The sequence below is a fragment of the Homo sapiens genome, chromosome 11 (assembly GCF_000001405.40).
Source record: "Homo sapiens chromosome 11, GRCh38.p14 Primary Assembly".
Lineage (NCBI taxonomy): Eukaryota > Metazoa > Chordata > Mammalia > Primates > Hominidae > Homo > Homo sapiens.
In genome coordinates, this window is record NC_000011.10 from 27,781,206 (window position 1) to 27,799,983 (window position 18,778).

General features: G+C 40.6%; 1 annotated feature.

Annotated features, from left to right (window-relative positions):
- Positions 14,824–15,690: an enhancer, noted in NCBI's record as "OCT4-NANOG hESC enhancer chr11:27817576-27818442 (GRCh37/hg19 assembly coordinates)". NCBI's record gives its function as "activates a minimal SCP1, AML or CMV promoter by ChIP-STARR-seq in naive and primed H9 embryonic stem cells {active_cell/tissue: H9 hESC(naive and primed)}" and the evidence as "EXISTENCE:reporter gene assay evidence [ECO:0000049][PMID:30033119]".

The following is an 18,778-nucleotide window of genomic DNA, read 5'->3' on the forward strand; positions in this document are numbered from 1 at the left end:
TAAGCACCCTAGAAGACATTATGAAGGAGTCAGATACTTGCAATGACACAAAGAATATCCAGGAATGTAACACATGCAGACTGACACAGGTGCCATTCTTAAATTCCACGAGTTATGTCACCTTCCATCACGTAATTTTTTTTAAATGGTAAACAACTTTTAGTAGAGTTATTCTTTTAAATTACAAACAACTTTTGATTTACATGGAAATTGTGTTCCTGGAACATTTAGTGTATATTAAAACCTTGAAAATAAATGAATTTTTATATATGCAAAATGGAATTTGATGTTAGACTCAGATAAATATAGCTATGTTTCTTTCTCACGTATATGAATAATGAGTGGAACATTAGAAAATTATGTGGAACACTAACAGTTTTTTACTTGGCAAGATTATATTATACTTTTCAAAGTACCTGGCATCCCTGACCCTTGTCTAATAAATGTTGATATTGCTCTCTCAAATCAATAAAAAATGTCCCCACAATTTTCCAAAACATTACCCCAGGGGTGGGACTGCTTCTATTGAAAACTATTGACATAAAGCATGATTTCATATCACTGAAAGGTTTAAATTTTTACTTTGCATATAGTAGCAAGGTTTAAAAAATCTCGTGAATGAATGGGATACAAAAAGTAAATTTTCATAAAACAGTAATTTCCATGATGCTAGTACAATGAATAGATTTCTTTGCTAAGTCCAAGTTGAAGAGATCAGGCTAGGACAGCAAATATGGGCAGCTGCCATCTTTTACCAGGTGTAAATAGGGAGACATGTTTATTTTCTCTTGTTCTGCCAACATGAATTAAGCATCTCCTAGCCATGAGGTCTATGCTGAGGCTGCGGGATCCACAGTGACATACAACAGGCTTCCCACACGGCAGTTACACCAGGAAGGGACAAAGTATTGAAAAAGAAATGGAATGTATTCAGCAGTTTGGCAGTTAACAGAGCTCATAAAAAATGACTTTCCCTTAAGACAGTTTTTACTGGGTTGTGTTTTTATTGAAAATCCTAGTTTTTCTCCTGAGAGAATCATTCTGCTGGAGCAACAAGCAGAAACAAAGCAGAGTGGGTGACATCCAAGAAATGACTTTGGAGCCATAATGTACCTATCCTACACAATAAACACCGTCACTTCATGTAAACTGGCAAGAGTGGGGTAAGAAACTGGCTAATATGGAAATCACTCTAACACTTCTCAGTTCTACAGATGTAGTCTTAAACAGACAAACAAACAAAACTCTACAACCATAGTGACATGGAAACAGGTTGCTGGATTCAGCAGGAAGGTTGACAGGCAGTGAACATTTATGTTAAGAATATTCCCAGCAAACTCTTTCCACCTCTGGGTTTGACACTGGCTCTCAACTAGGGAATGCTGCTAAGGGATAGAGTGCTGGGTAACAGGGTGGCCCTGTCACAGCAGCCAGCATAAACCCAATGGCTGAAATAAAAAACCATGATTTACTCACTTACCCTGTACATATTTACAGAACACCCACTATGAGCCAGGCACTGTTTAGCTGCTAAGTTATAATATTAAATAAGGTACATAGAGTTCTGCTTATAGGCATTTCCATAACACAAAATAAGTATATAAATAGGTCAACATATATGTCAATATCTATAGTGAAAAGTATTAAGAAAAGAATAAAGCAGTGTAATGTGCTGATGGGTGACTGGAAGCGCAGATAGGAAGCTATCTGTCTGGGGTGATCAGTGAGGATGTCTACTGCATTGTCAGGGATCATTTGTGTCTGAGATGGTGACCTAGGAGCTGAGATTTGAATGGCAACAATATTCACTTAACCAGAGTCCTCATCGCAAAATGTTTGGGCCCAGTGAAGTGGGTCTCATAATGCTGGGTCCCTTAATTCCTAATAGAATTGGGAAGTAGGTAGGAGATGCCTGTGTTTCTTCTTTAACTCAATAAGTACATCCTAGACTCCTAGGAGACAACATAGTATACTGCAAAAATCTCGGGACTGGACATTTGGAAACCTGGATGCTAGTTCTGATGTCCCTTGATAATAGGCTGAGTGACCTCAGGCAAATCATCCATCAGGCTGGGTGTGTTTCCATAATATGAAAACAGACTGTACACTCCATAAGAGAAGACATTGTGTCTGAATTGTTACCTGCTGTCTCTCCAGCACCCAGCACACAGTATCTGGCAATGGTGAGTGCCCAATGGAAGCTATTATTGTTGCTTTCATTATTAGCTGATAGGTATGATTCCTTCCCATCCCAAAACTCTAGTACTTTGGCTCAATCTCCTTGTGATAACAACACCCCCCACCACCAAAAAGAGAAATAACAAGAAATTTATTTCTGAGTTTGCCACATCTGGCTACATTACACAGGGGCTAGTCCCTTCTTTCTGGGACTCATTTCCCCTCATCCATAAAGTGAAGAAGTTTATCTCAGCAATTCATCCTGGCTCTAGAATTACAGATTTTTAATTAAATTCTGCAAATAAAATTGTATTTCAAATACACTAGGGGGACCCCGTGGTGAATTTTAAAATAAACATGTAGTGGAATTATTTCCCAAAGCAAAATGTATCATTTTCGATACTATTATTTTAATCTGGGTCTTATTGCATAAGAATGAGCTTTCTTAGAGGAAGGCATCACTATTGCTTGCTTCTATTAAGCTCTCAGGGTCATTTCTGGCTCTTGCATAACACCCTAGGCTGTTAAGGAGAGAGATGCGAGCACAAGAATTTGGCACTCTCCTGAAAGCTACGTTCTGTTTTGGAAATGGACATTTACTTTCTTATTCCCTCCCTCCCTCCCTCCCTCCCTTCCTCCCTCCCTTCCTTCCTTCCTTCCTTCCTTCCTTCCTTCCTTCTTTCCTTCCTTCCTTCCTTCCTTCCTCCCTCCCTCCCTCCGTCCCTCTTTCCCTCCCTTCTTTTTTTCTATTGGGAATCTTGACAACATTACCAATAAATCATTTCTAAATGAGGAAGACCCAGAAAGTATACTCTTTACCAGGAATAATAGCAGCAGAGAAGAATAATTTTTCTAAAAAAATCTTTCTTTGAAAAAATGGAAAAGTAAAGGAAATAATAAAAATAATAAAGAAGGAAGCTAATATTTATTAAGTGCATAGTATGTCCAGGCACAACAACCCTATGCCCATTTCATGGATGAGAAAACTGCTATCTCAAGTTAAACCTCATGGAGATGAACCACCTTACACAGGCTTAGAGAAGAGTAAATGAGAACAAAAGAAGGGATGGAGGAAAGAATGGGAGATGTTAATCGCGAGGTCAATGGTATCAATTGGAAAGAGCCTGAACTGAAAGTCAGGAGACTTGAGTTGCAGTCCTAGCTTCTCTACTCATACATCTGTCCAATGGAGAGATTACATTTACTTTGAGGGTGATGTGAAAATTAAAGCAAGATTATTTATAGGAGAGAGCAGCTCAATATCCAGTGTTCAGCAGGAGCTAGTTGTTTTCACAAGCCACCATTGTCTTCTTGCCTGACCTCAAGCAAACCTTTGTTTGTTTTTTGTCCTTCTCTGCCATACCACTGTTTGTACTCACGCCCTATCCCAGATCTTTTCCAGTCAGAACCATAGGGTCATGAGGAAGGCCTCCATTCATCCTTTTAAGTCAGAGATCCCCAAATGGTGGCCCACAGAGCAGGTCTGGACTATGACTATTTGTCTGGCTAATGAGGTATCTATTTAAAAGTTTGAATTAGTTACCAGCACCTAACATTGAGGAGTTTCACAAAAAATACAGTTTTGACTTGTCTTGAAATATGAGAAAATTTGGCTACATGGGGTCTTCTCCTATCCATCAATTGTTGGCTGAATCTGATTGGGGATGGGAGATCTCCAATCACCCAATTTCCGTCACTACCTATTGCATTATGCTTATTTGCATTTGTGGTCTCTGCAGGCATTTGAACTTGTGACTCTCTGCATTGGGCTTCTTTCTCTTGGGCTTCTTTGAAAAATGCAAATACTTCAAGGAGAGGAATCAAATAAATAAGTTTAGAAGATGGATTCTCTATTAAATGCCCAAGATAAGTCAAAGATAGCATTTCTTCTACAGGGGTAGGGTGGGGAGGTCTAAAATTGGATGGATTGAGGATGGAAAGCACACACTTGGCATGTAGGCACTCAAAACATTTTTAGTGAATAAATGAAAGAAGAGTAGTACGTTATGATGGGGACTGAAGTCAAGCTTTTGCTACTGAGTTGCACATGCTCCTGCCACACCAAGATGTACTCTGTGTAACAGGAGACTCACTTGAACAGGCTCTGCATGACCCGTTCCTGGGCCCTTATCTTCATATTACCTAAACTAAATATGGGACCAAATTTCCTAAGCTAAAAATAAGAACAAAGTCCAACCAACCAAAAATTAATTTGTCACCTGAATTCAAGTTAGTCTAAAAATATTATTAGCTATTCCATGTGAGGTGCTTTGCTAAGCTTTGAGGGTGTAGGATGAATAAGAGATGTTTCTTGTCTTTGTGAAACTCATTCTTGTCAGGAATTCAGAAAATAAGTCAGCAATAATAGTGTGAGATAGGGGCTATGATGAGAAATACAGGGTAGGGTTATAGGAACACCTGAGGACAGGGTGTACTATGTCTCCATTAGCCTATATGGTGCTTTTACAAGAATTGGAAAGGGTGTCTTTTCTAATTCTAAATCTTATTCTAATCGGGGGGGGGGGGTGGGTGGATAATACAGCCCAATTCAGGGCACAAAGCTTGTTAAATACAGCTTGACCTGGAAATTAAAAGTCTTGATCCCGTGCCTTTGGCCACAGATGAAGCGACACTACTAGGTAGGTGGCTAAGTCAATTAAGATATGTTCTGCTACAAGTAATAGAAAAATCAATTAGCTGTGGCTTAAACCATAAGACATTTACCATTTACTTAACAAAAGTTCTGAAGATACTCACAGGTAGATCCAGGGTTGATACCGTAGTTCCATGGTCTATGGGTCCATGGATCTATGTCTTGGCTGTTCTGCAGGTTTTCTTCTCATGGTCACAAGTTAATTGTTGCAGTTCTGAGTATCCTCACATGATCACTTTCAATGGCAGAACATGGGGCAGAATGAAAAAATATACTTCTCCTTGCATGTTCTCTGCTTTGGTCAGGAAGGAAAATCTTGCCATAAAGTACTCTGAGGAGATTTCCCTGTGAATTTCCTATATCAAAGTTAGGTCATATGATTACTCCAGTTGAAAGACAGGCCAGGAAAGCAAGTATCTGGCTTTTTCATTCTTTTGAGTGAGAGGTTCTCTGGCAAGAAGAGAGGTTTGGAAATGTTTGTTGGGTTGGCAACTTAGAGTGTCAGCCACACTGACTCAGATTTAGAGGGTAAGAAAAGCTTTCTTAGAAGAAGCGCTTTTTGAGCTGAGTCCTTAAAAATGAGTTAACCTCAAGGAAGTGGTGAGGGAGAAGCCAGAAGATTCAGACTTTAAGAGTAGATGGAAGAACAGTATGAGAGAATATGGTGGTAAATTCCACAGGGAACGGTAAGATTTTGAGAAACAGAAAAAGTATGATGAAAAAAGGGGCAGAAGTAAGGATTAGCTTAATGATGAAGAGCAGTGTAAGCTGGATGAAGAGACAAATTGTAAATTGCAAAATGAAATAAAAAGAATATCTGACATGTTGGTAAGGCATGTGAAATTTTTAAATGGGTATAATCTTGGATCACTTCAGGTGTCTGGACGTTCATGGTGTCTCAATTGTGAGCTCATAGGTAATGGAGAATGAGAACCCACAGGGAAAGACTCTGAAATTGATTTGTCCTTCCTTGAACAATAAAATTCAACAGACTTTGTGATGATGATGATGATGATGATGATGATAATGATGACAATGATATGATGATGACAATGGTGGCTAATACTCATTGAGTACTTATTATAGAGCAGACACTGTACCAAGTGGTTTACATATATTAAGTCATTAAATCTTTTCAACAACGCTATGAAGCAAGTGCTATTTAGTGTCCCATTCTGCAGATGAAGCAAACTGAGCTGCAGATGGGTTAAGCACCCTCACCAAGATCAATGCAGAGTGGCTCAGCCAGGAGACAGGAAAGTAAGTTGGTATTTAATTGCTTTGTTGTCCCTCTGTCAGTGGGCCATGCTCAGCATATACTGTGTTTGACCCAGTAGACATTAACCCTAACTGTCCTGGGCTCTATGGCTAACACGTCAAGTAGTCAGCAAGAGACACAAGTGAGAGCTGGATGGTACTCTCTCAGGATTGCTTTGCCTAGAACAGCCTGAAAGCAAGGAGCCTAAGAAAGAGAAATCAATATGTCAATTTAGATGTTTTATTAAATCCCTAGTCTTGGTTTCTGGCCCAAAAAAGTGTACTGCTTAGAGCCTAATCAGAGCTATTGTTGTTGCCACCCAGATGCTGTAGCAAACAATAGACTCAAGTAAGTTTGGGTAATTAATTTGAGATTTTTAATCCACCTCCCCTTTTCTCCTCCCCCAAATCTTATATTAAATACTAGGTGTATGCTGTGTCCTGCATGAGGCCTTGAGGATGACTAAATAAATAAAATGCAATCCTTGCCTTTGAGGAATCAGATAGTGATATTTGCCTTCTAACTTTCTCTCTAGTCTGTTCATGATCTCTTTGTGTTTTCCTTGGAGATGATAGAAGATAATATATTCTCAGATTTGGCCCAGACACCACCAAAGCAACTTTGTGTGGTGGAAAGAATGTGAGACTGAAATTCAGGAAACTAAGCCTCTGATTTGATTTCTGCCACTTACTCGCAAGTCCTTTGGACTGATGACTTAATGGTTGGCAATTTGGGAAGAGCACTAGATTTGGAAATGTGGATTCTGTTACATTACTGATTGGTTGGTTGTTTGCCTCTCCCTCTAATCAGCATGAGAAAAAGCCAAGCAATGGCTTAGTCTCAAGGAGAAGCTATGTTCCCAGTGCCCACCCAGCCATATTTCTCACTATTACTATCAGGCACTCAGAGTTCCAGGAAGTAGCAGAATAGACTGGAGAAATCAGAAGGTCTGGTATCACACATGGGTTGAGATGCATGTTCTGCCTCTTCCTAGCTATGGGATCTTGGGTCTGTGATTTAGGAAAATGCCCAAATAACCACTGCTTAAACAAAATAAAAATGTATTTCTCTCTCATGTAAGGGCATGCCACCTAGGACTAGTATATTAGCTATACTCATCAGGAACACCAATCCCATCTATCTTGTTGCTGTTCTACCATTCTCACATGTGACTTCCATTTCAAAGTGCAGATTAATTGCTCTAGTTACAGTCATCACAACTAACATCCCAATCAGCAGTAAGGCAGGACAAGAAGGAGAAGAAATTGCTTTCCTCCATATAAGAACATTATCCGGAAGTAGAAACATACTTATTTTGTTTCTATCTCATTGGTCAGAACTTGGTCACGTGCATACACATACCTACAAGGGAAGCTGAGAAATGTAGTCATTATTCTGGCTAGTCATTTTTCTAGTTAAGAAGTGGGTGTTCTATTACTGGGAAGGAAGAGGAGGGCAGACATTGGGCCACAATTAACCATCATAGCCACAATAAGTGGCTCTTTGGCCCTTCATGTCTTAATTAATAAATGGGGCTAATATTATCTGCTTCATTAGGATTTAAGAGGATTAAAGAATATATGTATGTCCAAGTACCTAGCATATAGTAGGTGCCCAATTGATGGAAATAAGTATAATTATGCATGTAAAATACCTTGTGCATGGTGGGTGCCAGTTCTCCCTCTTGCTCCATTCCCCCTGATTTCATAGATGTTGGATGATATGTATGAAAGCTAAAAGGAGTCAGGGCTTAGACCAGCGACAGACTAATGCATGTAATTCTTACTGCTTCTATCCATTTTCTCTCACCTATTCCATCTGAAATAGGTTAGATGCTAAACAGTTAGGACATGAAGACAGAAAAGTGACCCCTTGGCCAATTGCCTCTCAATTAAATCCATCTTGTAGCAATTTTTGGAGTAATCATTATCAGGGATCTGTATTAGGAGGAAGCAAAGGTCATACGGGCTTCTTTAATGATTAGAAACTCTTCATTCTAGGGATGAGGTTAGATAAATTAAACTAAGCTCTTAAAACAATCAGGCTGACCTCATCATCTCAGAGATCCAGAGCCAGGAGCCAAGCTCATGCTGGGTCTCCCTCTATGGGCCCCCAGAGTATGGCTGTCATTGATGACATCTAGACCAGGCTCTCCTGAGTTTCTCAGGGCAGAGAAGAGAGCTGATGGGGAAGGGTTCATCCAATATCTCCAATATTACCAATATCTCTTCCACAGAGATTGGATGGAAAGACTCCAGTCAACAACCAGATAGAGGCCACTTGAGTGAAACAACATTTAGGACTCTGGAAAGCCAGATTTTCTCCCAAAATTCTTTCCCTAAGCTACTGTGAATAGAGTCAGCTATGAGATAGTATAGGGTATGGGGCACCAGGGTCAAGGTTGAGCCCATTTGAAGTAGGGACATTCTCAGTCATGCACTTTGCATCTGGTTTGAAATCCATATCATTGATCAACTAACACATTCATTCATTCTTTCAACAGTGATAATTAAATACCTACTATGTGTTAGATCCTGGAAATGTTAAAGCCAGCCATAAAGGAAAAAACTTGACGGCAACTACAAAAAGCAATAGGCATTATGAGGGAAGTCAAGATTGAAGATGTGTGGGGTAAAATAGGAGAAAGAAATACAGTTCCACTCTTTGTGCTATTTGTTATTTATATGGCAACCATTTTCTCCTTCTCCTCAAATAATATCTTTTCTTTTCTATTTCAAATCTAATACATATTCATCACAGAAACCTTGGATACAGAAAAGCAGAGGGGAGGAAATACGAATACTATATAACCTCACAGGAGTGATAAGCACTGCCAGGTTTTTAGTTTATGGCCATCTTCCTACCACCCTCAGTTCCCTCCTTCCCAGAGTCCCTTGCAGCAATATGGGGAGCCCCTCCCCACTCATTTCCAGTAAAGTGAAGAAAGCTGGGACATTCCTTTAGGGAATGGCTGTGCTCTGGATTCCGCAACAGTAGATACAGTCACCCCATCCACCCCCATTTAAAAGGTTTTAAAAGCTAAATAGGGCCCTAATTAAAGAACATGAACTTGGAATCAGAGAAGGCAGAAGGCCATTACAAAGACTTTGGATTTTAGCTCGAGTGAGATAGGAAACTGTTGTAGGGTTTTTACCAGAGGAGTGACACACTCTGGCTTATGATTTAAAAGAATTATTGTAGCTGATGTGTGATGACAAGTTAGGAGGCAACTGTAAAAATCCAGGCAAAATCTAAGACTAGTTATTTGACCTCTCTGAGGGTACTAGCCTGAATAAAAACTCTCTGAAGATATCAGGTCCTAAACAGATGTTCTGGAACCTGTAAATGTTATCTTAAGAGGAAAAATAGTTTTCGAAGATGTAGTTAAATTACAAATCTTGAGATAGGAAGATTATTCTGCATCACCCAGGTGGGCCCTAAATGCAATCACAGCTGTCCTTATAGGAGACAACCAGAGGAAGAGAAGCCGTGCATAGCAAAGAGAAGGTGATGTGAAGATTGAGGCAAAGATTAGAACGATGAGGCCTCAAGTCAAAAAATGCTGGCAGCCACTAGAAACTGGAAGAGGCGAAGAACAGAGTCTTCCGTAGAGCCACCAGAGTGAGAGTGTGGCCCTGTAGATATTTTTATTTTGTTCCAGTGGTACTGAGTTTTGACTTTTGGCTTCCAGAAATATTATGGAATAAATTTCTGTTGTTTGAAGCCATCCAGTATGTGGTATTGTGTTACAGCAGACTAGGAAACTAATACAGATTACGGCACTGGGAAGGAGGAGCTGCCTTAACAAATACCTAAACATATGGAAGTGACTTTGGAGTTGAATAATAAATTTTAAGGTACATGCTGGAAAAAGCCTATATTTCCTTAAACAGAGTATAAATGTGGATATTAACAGCATTTCTGGTGAGAATTGAGAAGGAAGTGAGGTGCATGGTAGAGAAAGCCCATATCATCTTAGAGGATAAATGTATTATCATTTAAAAAAAATTTATAGAATATGAACATTAAAGGTGCTTCTGGTGTGAACTGAGAAGAAAAAGAGGAACAAGTATTGGAAGCTGGAAAAAAGGTGATTCTTGTACAGTGGTAGAAAATTCACTAAATTGTGTGCTACTGTTGTGTGAAAAGAATTTGTAAGCAATAAACTTGGATATTTACCTGAGGGGATTTCCAAGCAAAGTGTTTAACGTGTGGCCTGATTTCGTCTTGGTGCTTATAGCATAATATGAGAAGAAAGAGATACTTGATAAAGAATTGTTAGGCAAAAATGAACCAGGATTTGTTGCTTTTAAAAATTCTCAGTCTATTCAGATTACAAAAGATGCTAAAATTAGGAGATTTACTGTTAGGAAAGAGCACTCTGGAGAGAAGGCCAAGGGTGTAACAGGACAATTTTTTGTAAAGGCTAAAGAGACTGAAAATGTGATTATTCAGGGAATATCTGTTGAGGGCCCTCTGGCCTAATAGCATAAATCCCTGTGGGATAGAAGGGAGATACACAAGATTTTTGAGAATGTTATAGCAGCAGTAATACTTCCAGTTTGGACTGAAAGGGGCAGAAGGAAGATAAAATAAACAAAGGCTATTGGACTTCCAAAAGGTCTACACGCAAGACACAAGACTGATAAAATGACTCAGCTGAAAACATGTGCTACACTTAGTGGACTCCAACAGCCACCTCTCATGAAAAAAAATCACGCTGAGAAACGCAATGCTTTTTGAATAGCAAGATGGGCTTGCCAATTCTTATATCACATTCATTCACAAATAGAGATGCCTGTGCACAACTATCACACAGTTGTCCTTTGGTGTCCATCGGGGATTGATTCCGGGACTCTCCAAGGATACCAAAGTCCATGGATGCTCAAGTTCTTTTATAAAATGATGCATACAACCTATGCACGTAACCTATGCACATCCTTCCATATAATTTAAATAGTCTCCAGATTATTTATAGCACATGAAACAATGTAAATGCTGTCTACTATTGTTATACTGTATTGTTTAGGAAGTAGTGACAAGGAAAAAAGTCTATACATGTTTAGTACAGACACAACCATCCATTTAAAAAAAAAATTTCAATCTGTAGTTGTTTGAATACATGGGTGTAGAATCCTTGCATAAGAAGGGCTGACTGTATTAGCTAAATATAAATTTTAAACAACACTCATTTCACCGGTGACAAATTATTTCTAACACTTCTCATGCTAATTAACAAATCCTCTACAGTTACCTTTCTAGTACTATTGATTTGCTTCCTTCAAATGCAAACTAACCAATTCTAGACTATGAATTCTCTTTAGGGCACTTCATTTGTTTAATTGACCACTCCTAGTTGGCTAATTACCTACATACTTGTCACCATGTTTATGCTGATGCGTTTTAAAGTAGACTATACATAATATGACAAATTTGAAATGTTTTCCACACTGGTACTTTAGTTACACCATCTATAAATGGTCAATGAGAGACTTGTCTCATTATAATCATTGTGTAATAGTACAATGCCTGTCATAGGTCTGCTAGACCCTGAGATGAGAATTTGTGTGCAAGTGATTTATTAACAAAGTATTCCCAGAAGAAACAATAAAGGAAGGAGAGAAGCTGAACAGGGAAGGAGAAGTAGCCTAGCAAGATTATAACTTCAGGCACAGTTTCAGAACATGTAGCTTCAGTCTGATCTCATAGGAGATTTCTGGATTTTGCCTCATCCCAGTCTGCTGCAGAGGAACTGGGTTCCAATAGTCTCAGAAGAGTCATGGGTACAGGCTCTTGGAGAAAGAGCACACCCAAGTTAAGAGAAAGAACACACAAAAATGGCAAAAACAATCTGAGAAGACTTGGTCAAAGCATTGGCTATTTGCTCAGTAGTGACAAAGTATTTTCCCTGGACCAGTGCCTGTCCAAGGATTGTTACAGATCTGCAATGAGATAAATACAGAAATTGATAGTAAGCATTTAGAAATTTGTACAGCAATTTGACAGTAATTTTATGTCCATTGAATCTAATAATTTTAAAATTGGCTTCATTTTATTTCATTTTTGTAGTAATTTGTTTTAACTGCACTTTACAAAAGAATTGCTCTATGAGGTATTAGGAAAAAAGCTTGGGTCATTTACCACAGAAGCACTGAGCTATGGTACACATAAAACTGTAACTATTATTAAAATGGAAAACCATTCATTGTTCACACACTCATTTAAAAATGCTTATTGAATTTCTGTTATAAATCAGGCATCAAGTTTGGAGATTCAGTTATGAATCCTTTTGGATTTTAGTGGAGGGGAAAGATGATAAGCCAATATTCAAATAAAAAAAATTTTCAGTATCAGATGGAGGTAAATATAGAGAAAAATAAGGGAAGAGAAAAGAGATGATGGAGAAGGAGGTTTCATAGGATGGTTGTATTTGTTGTCTGTTGCTGCACAACAAATTAGCAACAAGTTGATTGCTTAAAAAATACACACTTATTATCTTATGGATTCTATGTGTAAAGATCCACACATGACTTAGATGAGTCCATTACTTAGAGCCTTGTAATGTTGCAATCAAGGTACCAGCCAAGTTGTGTTCTCATCTGGAGGCCCAACTGAGGAATAATTTATTTCTAAAGTCATTCAGATTTTTGGTAAAATTTATTTACTTATTGCTCCAGAGCTGAGACTTCTGTTTTCTTGTTGATCTGGTCAGAGGTCTCCTTCAAATTCCTAGAAGCTGCCCTTAGCTGTTTGCCACTGGACTTTCTAACACAGATGCTTATTTCTTCAAAGCCAGCAAAGGAACTAGTCTCTGAAGTGAGTCTGATAGCAAGATGGGGTCTTATTTAATGCAACATAATCACAGGAGTGCCATATTCCATTTTCTATAGGCATGTCACAGGTCCCACCCACACTCTACAGGAAGGATTAGACAAAGGCATGGACACTAGAAAGTGGGCATCATGAGGGCCCACCTCATGTCTGTCACAGTGGCCAAAGAAGGCCAGAATAAGGGAATATTAAAGCCATGACCTAAATGAAGCAAGAGAGAAAACCATATAGATACCTGGTGAAAGATACATGCAAGCAGAGAGAATGGTAAATTTAAAGACCCTGAGACCAAACTTGCTTGGTAAGTCAAGGAAAAAAAATTGGCTGGAGCAGATTGAGCAGAGGAGAGAGTAATACGAGGTGAGCTCAGAGGGATACTGCAGAGCCAGGTCATACAGGGCTGTGTAGGACTTGATAAGAACTTTGGAATTTGAGTGAGATGGGATGATTAAAGTGTTTAAAGCAGACGGCTGTCATGATTTGGCTGTCCTGTGGTGTATAAACTATGTGAAGAGGTGGCAAAGAAAAGGAGAGAGAGCAGTTAGGATTCTATTTAATGATAGAGGCAACAGTGGTGGCTTTTTAGACCAGGATAGTAAAAGTATCAGTCAGCCTGAAAAATAATCAGATCACAGATATACTTATAAAGGAATGTCCACCAGTGTGTTAGGCTGTTCTTGCATTGCTATAAAGAAATACCTGAGACTGGATAATTTATAAGGAAAAGAAGTTTAATTGGCTCACAGTTCTGCAGGCTATACAAGGATGGCACCAGCATCTGCTAGGCTTCTGGGGAGGTCTCAGGTAGCTTTACTCATGGTGAAAGTTGAAGTGGAAGGGGGCACGTTGTAGAAGTTCATAGGTAAGGTCAATGCTGGAAACGAAAATTTGGTAATTATCAGCATGTGGATGGTATATAAAACCACGAGACTTGGAGTGACTTGGGGAGTCAGCATTGATAGAAAGGGAAAAACTGATATCTAAATCTTGAGCTAGGGAGATGAGGAGGATTCAGCACAGGATGTTAAAAACGAAAAAAAAAAAAATTAACTTTTTTTCAATAATGTGTTGCAGCTTTTTGTACATATGGGATATTTTTTCTTACATTTATTTTTTGTTTTTAGATGATTGTTGTAAGTGGCATTGTGTCTCAAATTTCACTTTCTAATTATATTTAGTATATAGAATTAAAACTGATTTTTGTCTAAAAAAAAAAAAAAAAAAAAAAAAAACGGAATGACCACAGAGGTAGGAGAAGCAAGAGAGTGATGTCTTGAAAGCCTGGAAGTCTGGGAGTGTGTCAAAAAGGAGAGAGAGATCAACTGTGTCCAATTATGCTAATAAGTAAGAGGAAGAGTGAGAATTGACCATTGGCTTTAGCCACATGGGAGCCATTGGTGACCTTGACAAAAGGGTGGTAGGCAGAAAAGACGAATTGGAATGGCTTCAGTGGAAAATGGAGGGAAGAAATTGGCATACAAAATACAGACGACTTTTTCTGAGAAATTGCCCTGTAAGTGGAGAGAATAATAGGTCATCACTGGAGGGATGTATGTCAAAAGGTCACTTTTTGAAGATGGGAGATAGTCACATTTGCGTGCTGATGGGCATGACCCATTAGAGTGAGAAAAGTTGAAAATGCAGAGATGGAGAAGCAATAGCAATAGCTGGAGTAAAGACTCTGAGTATGAAGAGGGGATGGAAATAGTAATGCTTCATAGAGTTGAGGGGAGGCTATAATGAAATGCTCTGTGTAAGACCTCAGAATGATACCTGATGCATGACAGTTGGTCAGAAAATGATACCTTTTACTATTATTATATAGTAACTTGGGGCAGGTGAGAGGGTAAAAGGACTCCTCAAATTCAGAAAACTCAAAGTTGAGATTAGAAACAAGTGTAAGTGGCATGACTGGTGATAAGAAAGCACAAGTCAGAAACTAGGATCATTGAGGCAGTTCAATTTCTCCAACTGGGAGAAGCAGGGAAGCAACAGGCTACAGTGTCAAGTGCAAATAGCTTTTGCCTCGTAATATGGTCTCTCTCCGTCAGTAACTAGCTGCACAATAATAAGCAAGTCCCTGAGTCACTTTATGCCTCCATTTTCTCTCCTATAAAAGGAGTCTGGTAATACTCATTCTCTTGGTTTGAAACATGATTTCTAAGAAGCCGGCAAGGCTAAGCAGGAGAAAGTAGTTTAAAGTAGTGTTCTGCAAATGAGAGTTGTTTTCAGGAAGAGGTGTTTCAAATAGCAGAGAAGTGGGGATTCCAAAGACTCCCTAGGGTGAGGAAAAACAAATACTGTACTGTATACAATAGGTCCTTGAGTCAGAAGGGAGGGGAGGGCGAGAAGGCAGAGTGGTATTCAGGGATCAGGAGTCAAACAGCAATTAAGGGAACAAAGGTCAGCTGGATGATAATTACAGGCAGTTAGGGAGGGAATTAGAGCTAGAGAGGTACTAATTACATGGGCCATTTAGACAAGGGTGGGGCTTCGCCTAAAGGAACAAAATGAGGGCTGATTACCTGCTAAAAATAAAGGCTGCCCCTCGGAGCCAGGGCTCACACATCTGGCATAGTCCCAGGCAGCACGAGGCTGTGTTCTCTGCTTTGCAGTGCCTACTCTGCTTCTAGTGTGGGCAGAACGTGCCTCCACCCTTCCCCAAGTACTGACATAAGGTCTGGGAGCTGTCTGTGGATCACTCCCTAGCTCTGTAGGAGATGGTGGCGTAGGGGAGAAGGGCTTGGAGATAAAGCATCAAAATTGGGTACACCAGTCAATCAATATAATCAGTCTAGGGGCTGGCTGTGCCCTGCAGAAGGATGCCAACCAGGAGGGCCACAGGGAGTGAAACCCAGGCCATATTTTGTTCTTTGTGCCAGTGCCCTGAAGTGGGGCTGTACCTGCTGGAAGGAAGGGGTACCTTTCCTTTATTTTCATTAAGTTGCTATATGGACTATCTCAGTCCTGTGGCCAATGCAAGAAATTTGGCTCAGCTTTCTGAGGGGCTGGTACTGTATCCTCTATTTCTTCAGATCACTTTGTGAGGTCATTATTCTCCAGTGGGGGCTTGTGGGAGAGGCAGTGGAGGCAGAAAGCGCATGCCCAGACCATATTCTCCCAGCTCAGTCAGGCTTCTCTACCTCTGATTGAACCTGTACTCACTGTGAAGCTTCCTGGGCCACCTGTATCCAGCAGCTGACATGGATGATTTCTCTCATACTTGTGAAGATTCTCTGATGGTAAAATAGACTACCATATATTAAGACCTCTGTGTGCTTCATTTCATATTCTTACCATTTTGGGGGTGGTTGTGTTTTTTCTTTGTAATAGTTACCTATTGTTGCATGACAGATTACCCCAAGACTTAGTGGCTTAAAACAGCAATTAAAATTTATCCTATTTCAGCCAAGCGCGGTGGCTCAGGCCTGTAATCCCAGCATTTTGGGAGGCCGAGGTGGGCGGATCACGAGGTCAGATCGAGACCATCCTGGCTAACACGGTGAAACCCCGTCTCTACTAAAAATAACAAAAAATTAGCCGGGCATGGTGGCAGGCGCCTGTAGTCCCAGCTACTCGGGAGGCTGAGGTAGGAGAATGGTGTGAACCCGGGAGGTGGAGCTTGCAGTGAGCAGAGATTGCACTACTGCACTCCAGTCTGGGCGACAGAGTGAGACTCCGTCTCAAAAAAAAAAAAAAATTATCCTATTTCACAGTTTCTGTGGGTCAGGAGTTGAGGAGCAGTTTAGGTGCATGGCTCTTCCTTAGGGTCTGTCATGAGATGACACTCAAGATGTCAGCTGGGACTGCAGTTGCTCTAAGACCTGATGGAGGCCAGAGGATCTACTTCTAACGTGGCTCCTCACGTGGCTGGCAAGCTGGTGCTGGCTGTTGGTGGGAGGTCTTAGTTTCTCTTCTTCTAGGCCTCTCCACAGAGCTGAGTCTTCTCCTGACATGGTGGCTGGCTTTTCCCAGAAGAAGCAATGCAAAACCCAAGGTAGAGGTGACCATGCTTTTTTTTTTTTTTAATCTAGCCTTGGCAGTCCCACATCACACACTGTAACTTCTGCAGTATTCTGTTAATCACACAGTTCATCCCAGAGTCACAAAAGTATGAATACAAGGAGATGGAGATCACAGGGAGTCATATTAGGATACTGCAATAGCCATTCTGTTAGGCATCTTAGTCATGCCTACTACACTCTGAAATTAAAAAATATTTGATATTTACTGCATAGTTATTAGTTCTCCAGCAGGCTTTTGATCACAGTAGCCTAATCTTCAATTTGTAAGCAGGTAGATATAGATATGTATTTATAGTCACTCATTTATTCATTCATTTATATATCCAAAAGTATTTGTTGGGTACCTATTATATGCTAGACACTGTTTCTAGTCACCTGACAGATGGAGAAACTGAGGCATGGAAGTCCAGTGACTTGCCTAAGGTTTAGTGGCAGAAGATGATGAGAACTCAGGTGATATGGTTTGACTTGGTGTTCCCACCCAAACCTCTTGTTGAATTATAATTTTCAGGGTTGGAGGAGAGGCCTGGTGGGACGTGATTGGAACTTGGGGGTGGATTTCCGCCTTGCTGTTCTCATGATAGTGAGTTTTCTGTGAGATCTGGTTGATTAAAAGTAAGTAGCACAGACTGGGTGTTGGGGATCACGCCTGTAATCCCAGCACTTTGGGAGGCCAAGGCAGGCAGATCACAAGGTCAAGAGATTGAGACCACCATGGCCAACATGGTAAAACCCTGTCTCTACTAAAAATACAAAAATTAGCTGGGCGTGGTGGCACACACCTGCAGTCCTAGCTACTCGGGAGGCTGAGGCAGGAGAATTGCTTGAACCCGGGAGGCGGAGGTTGCAGGGAGCCGAGATCACGCCACTGCACTCCAGCCTGGTGACAAAGTGAGACTCCATCTCAAAAAAAAAAAAAGTGTGTAGCACTTCTGCCTTTGCTCTGTCCTGCTCTGCCATGGTAAGACATTCCTGCTTCCCCCGGATCCCTTGGGGCACTGCCTAGTAGATCTGTGAGAAGTGGGTCACCATCCTCCAGACCCCAGAATTGTAGAACCACTGACGAATTTCACTGTGTTTTTGGAAAACCTGCAGGCACTCAACACCAGCCCACGAGAGCAGCTGCAGGGGCTGTACCCTGCAGAGCCACAGGGCTAGAGCTGCCCAAGCCTCTGGGAGCCTACCCCCCGCATCAGGGCATCCTGGATGTGAGACATGGAGTCAAAGGAGATTATTTTGGAGCTTTAAGATTTAATGGCTGCCCTGCTGGGTTTTGGACTTGCATGGGGCCTGTAACCACTCTGTTTTAGACAATTTCTTTATTTTGAAATGGAAGCATTTAACCAATGCCTGCACTCCCATTGTATCTTGGAAGTAACTAACCTGGTTTTGATTTTACAGGCTCATAGGCAGCAGAGACTTGCCTTGTCTCAGATGAGACTATGGACTTGGACTTTTGGATTAATGCTGGAATGAGTTGACTTCGGAGGACTGTTGGAAGGGCATGATTGTGTTTTGAAATGTAAGAATGACATGAGATTTGGGAGGGACAGAATGACATGGTTTGGCTCTCTGTGCCCACCCAAATCTCAAGTTGAATTATGATCTTCAGTGTTGGAGGAGGGGCCTGGTGGGAGGTAACTTAATCGTTGTGATGGATTTCCCCCTTGCTGTTCTCATGATAGTGAGTTCTCACAAGATCTGGTTGTTTGAAAGTGTGTGGCATTTCTCCCTTTGCTCTTTCTGTCTCTCCTTCTCTGCCATGGTTAAGATGTGCTTGCTTCCCCTTTGCATTCCACCATGATTGTAAGTTTCCTGAGGCCTCCCAGCCAC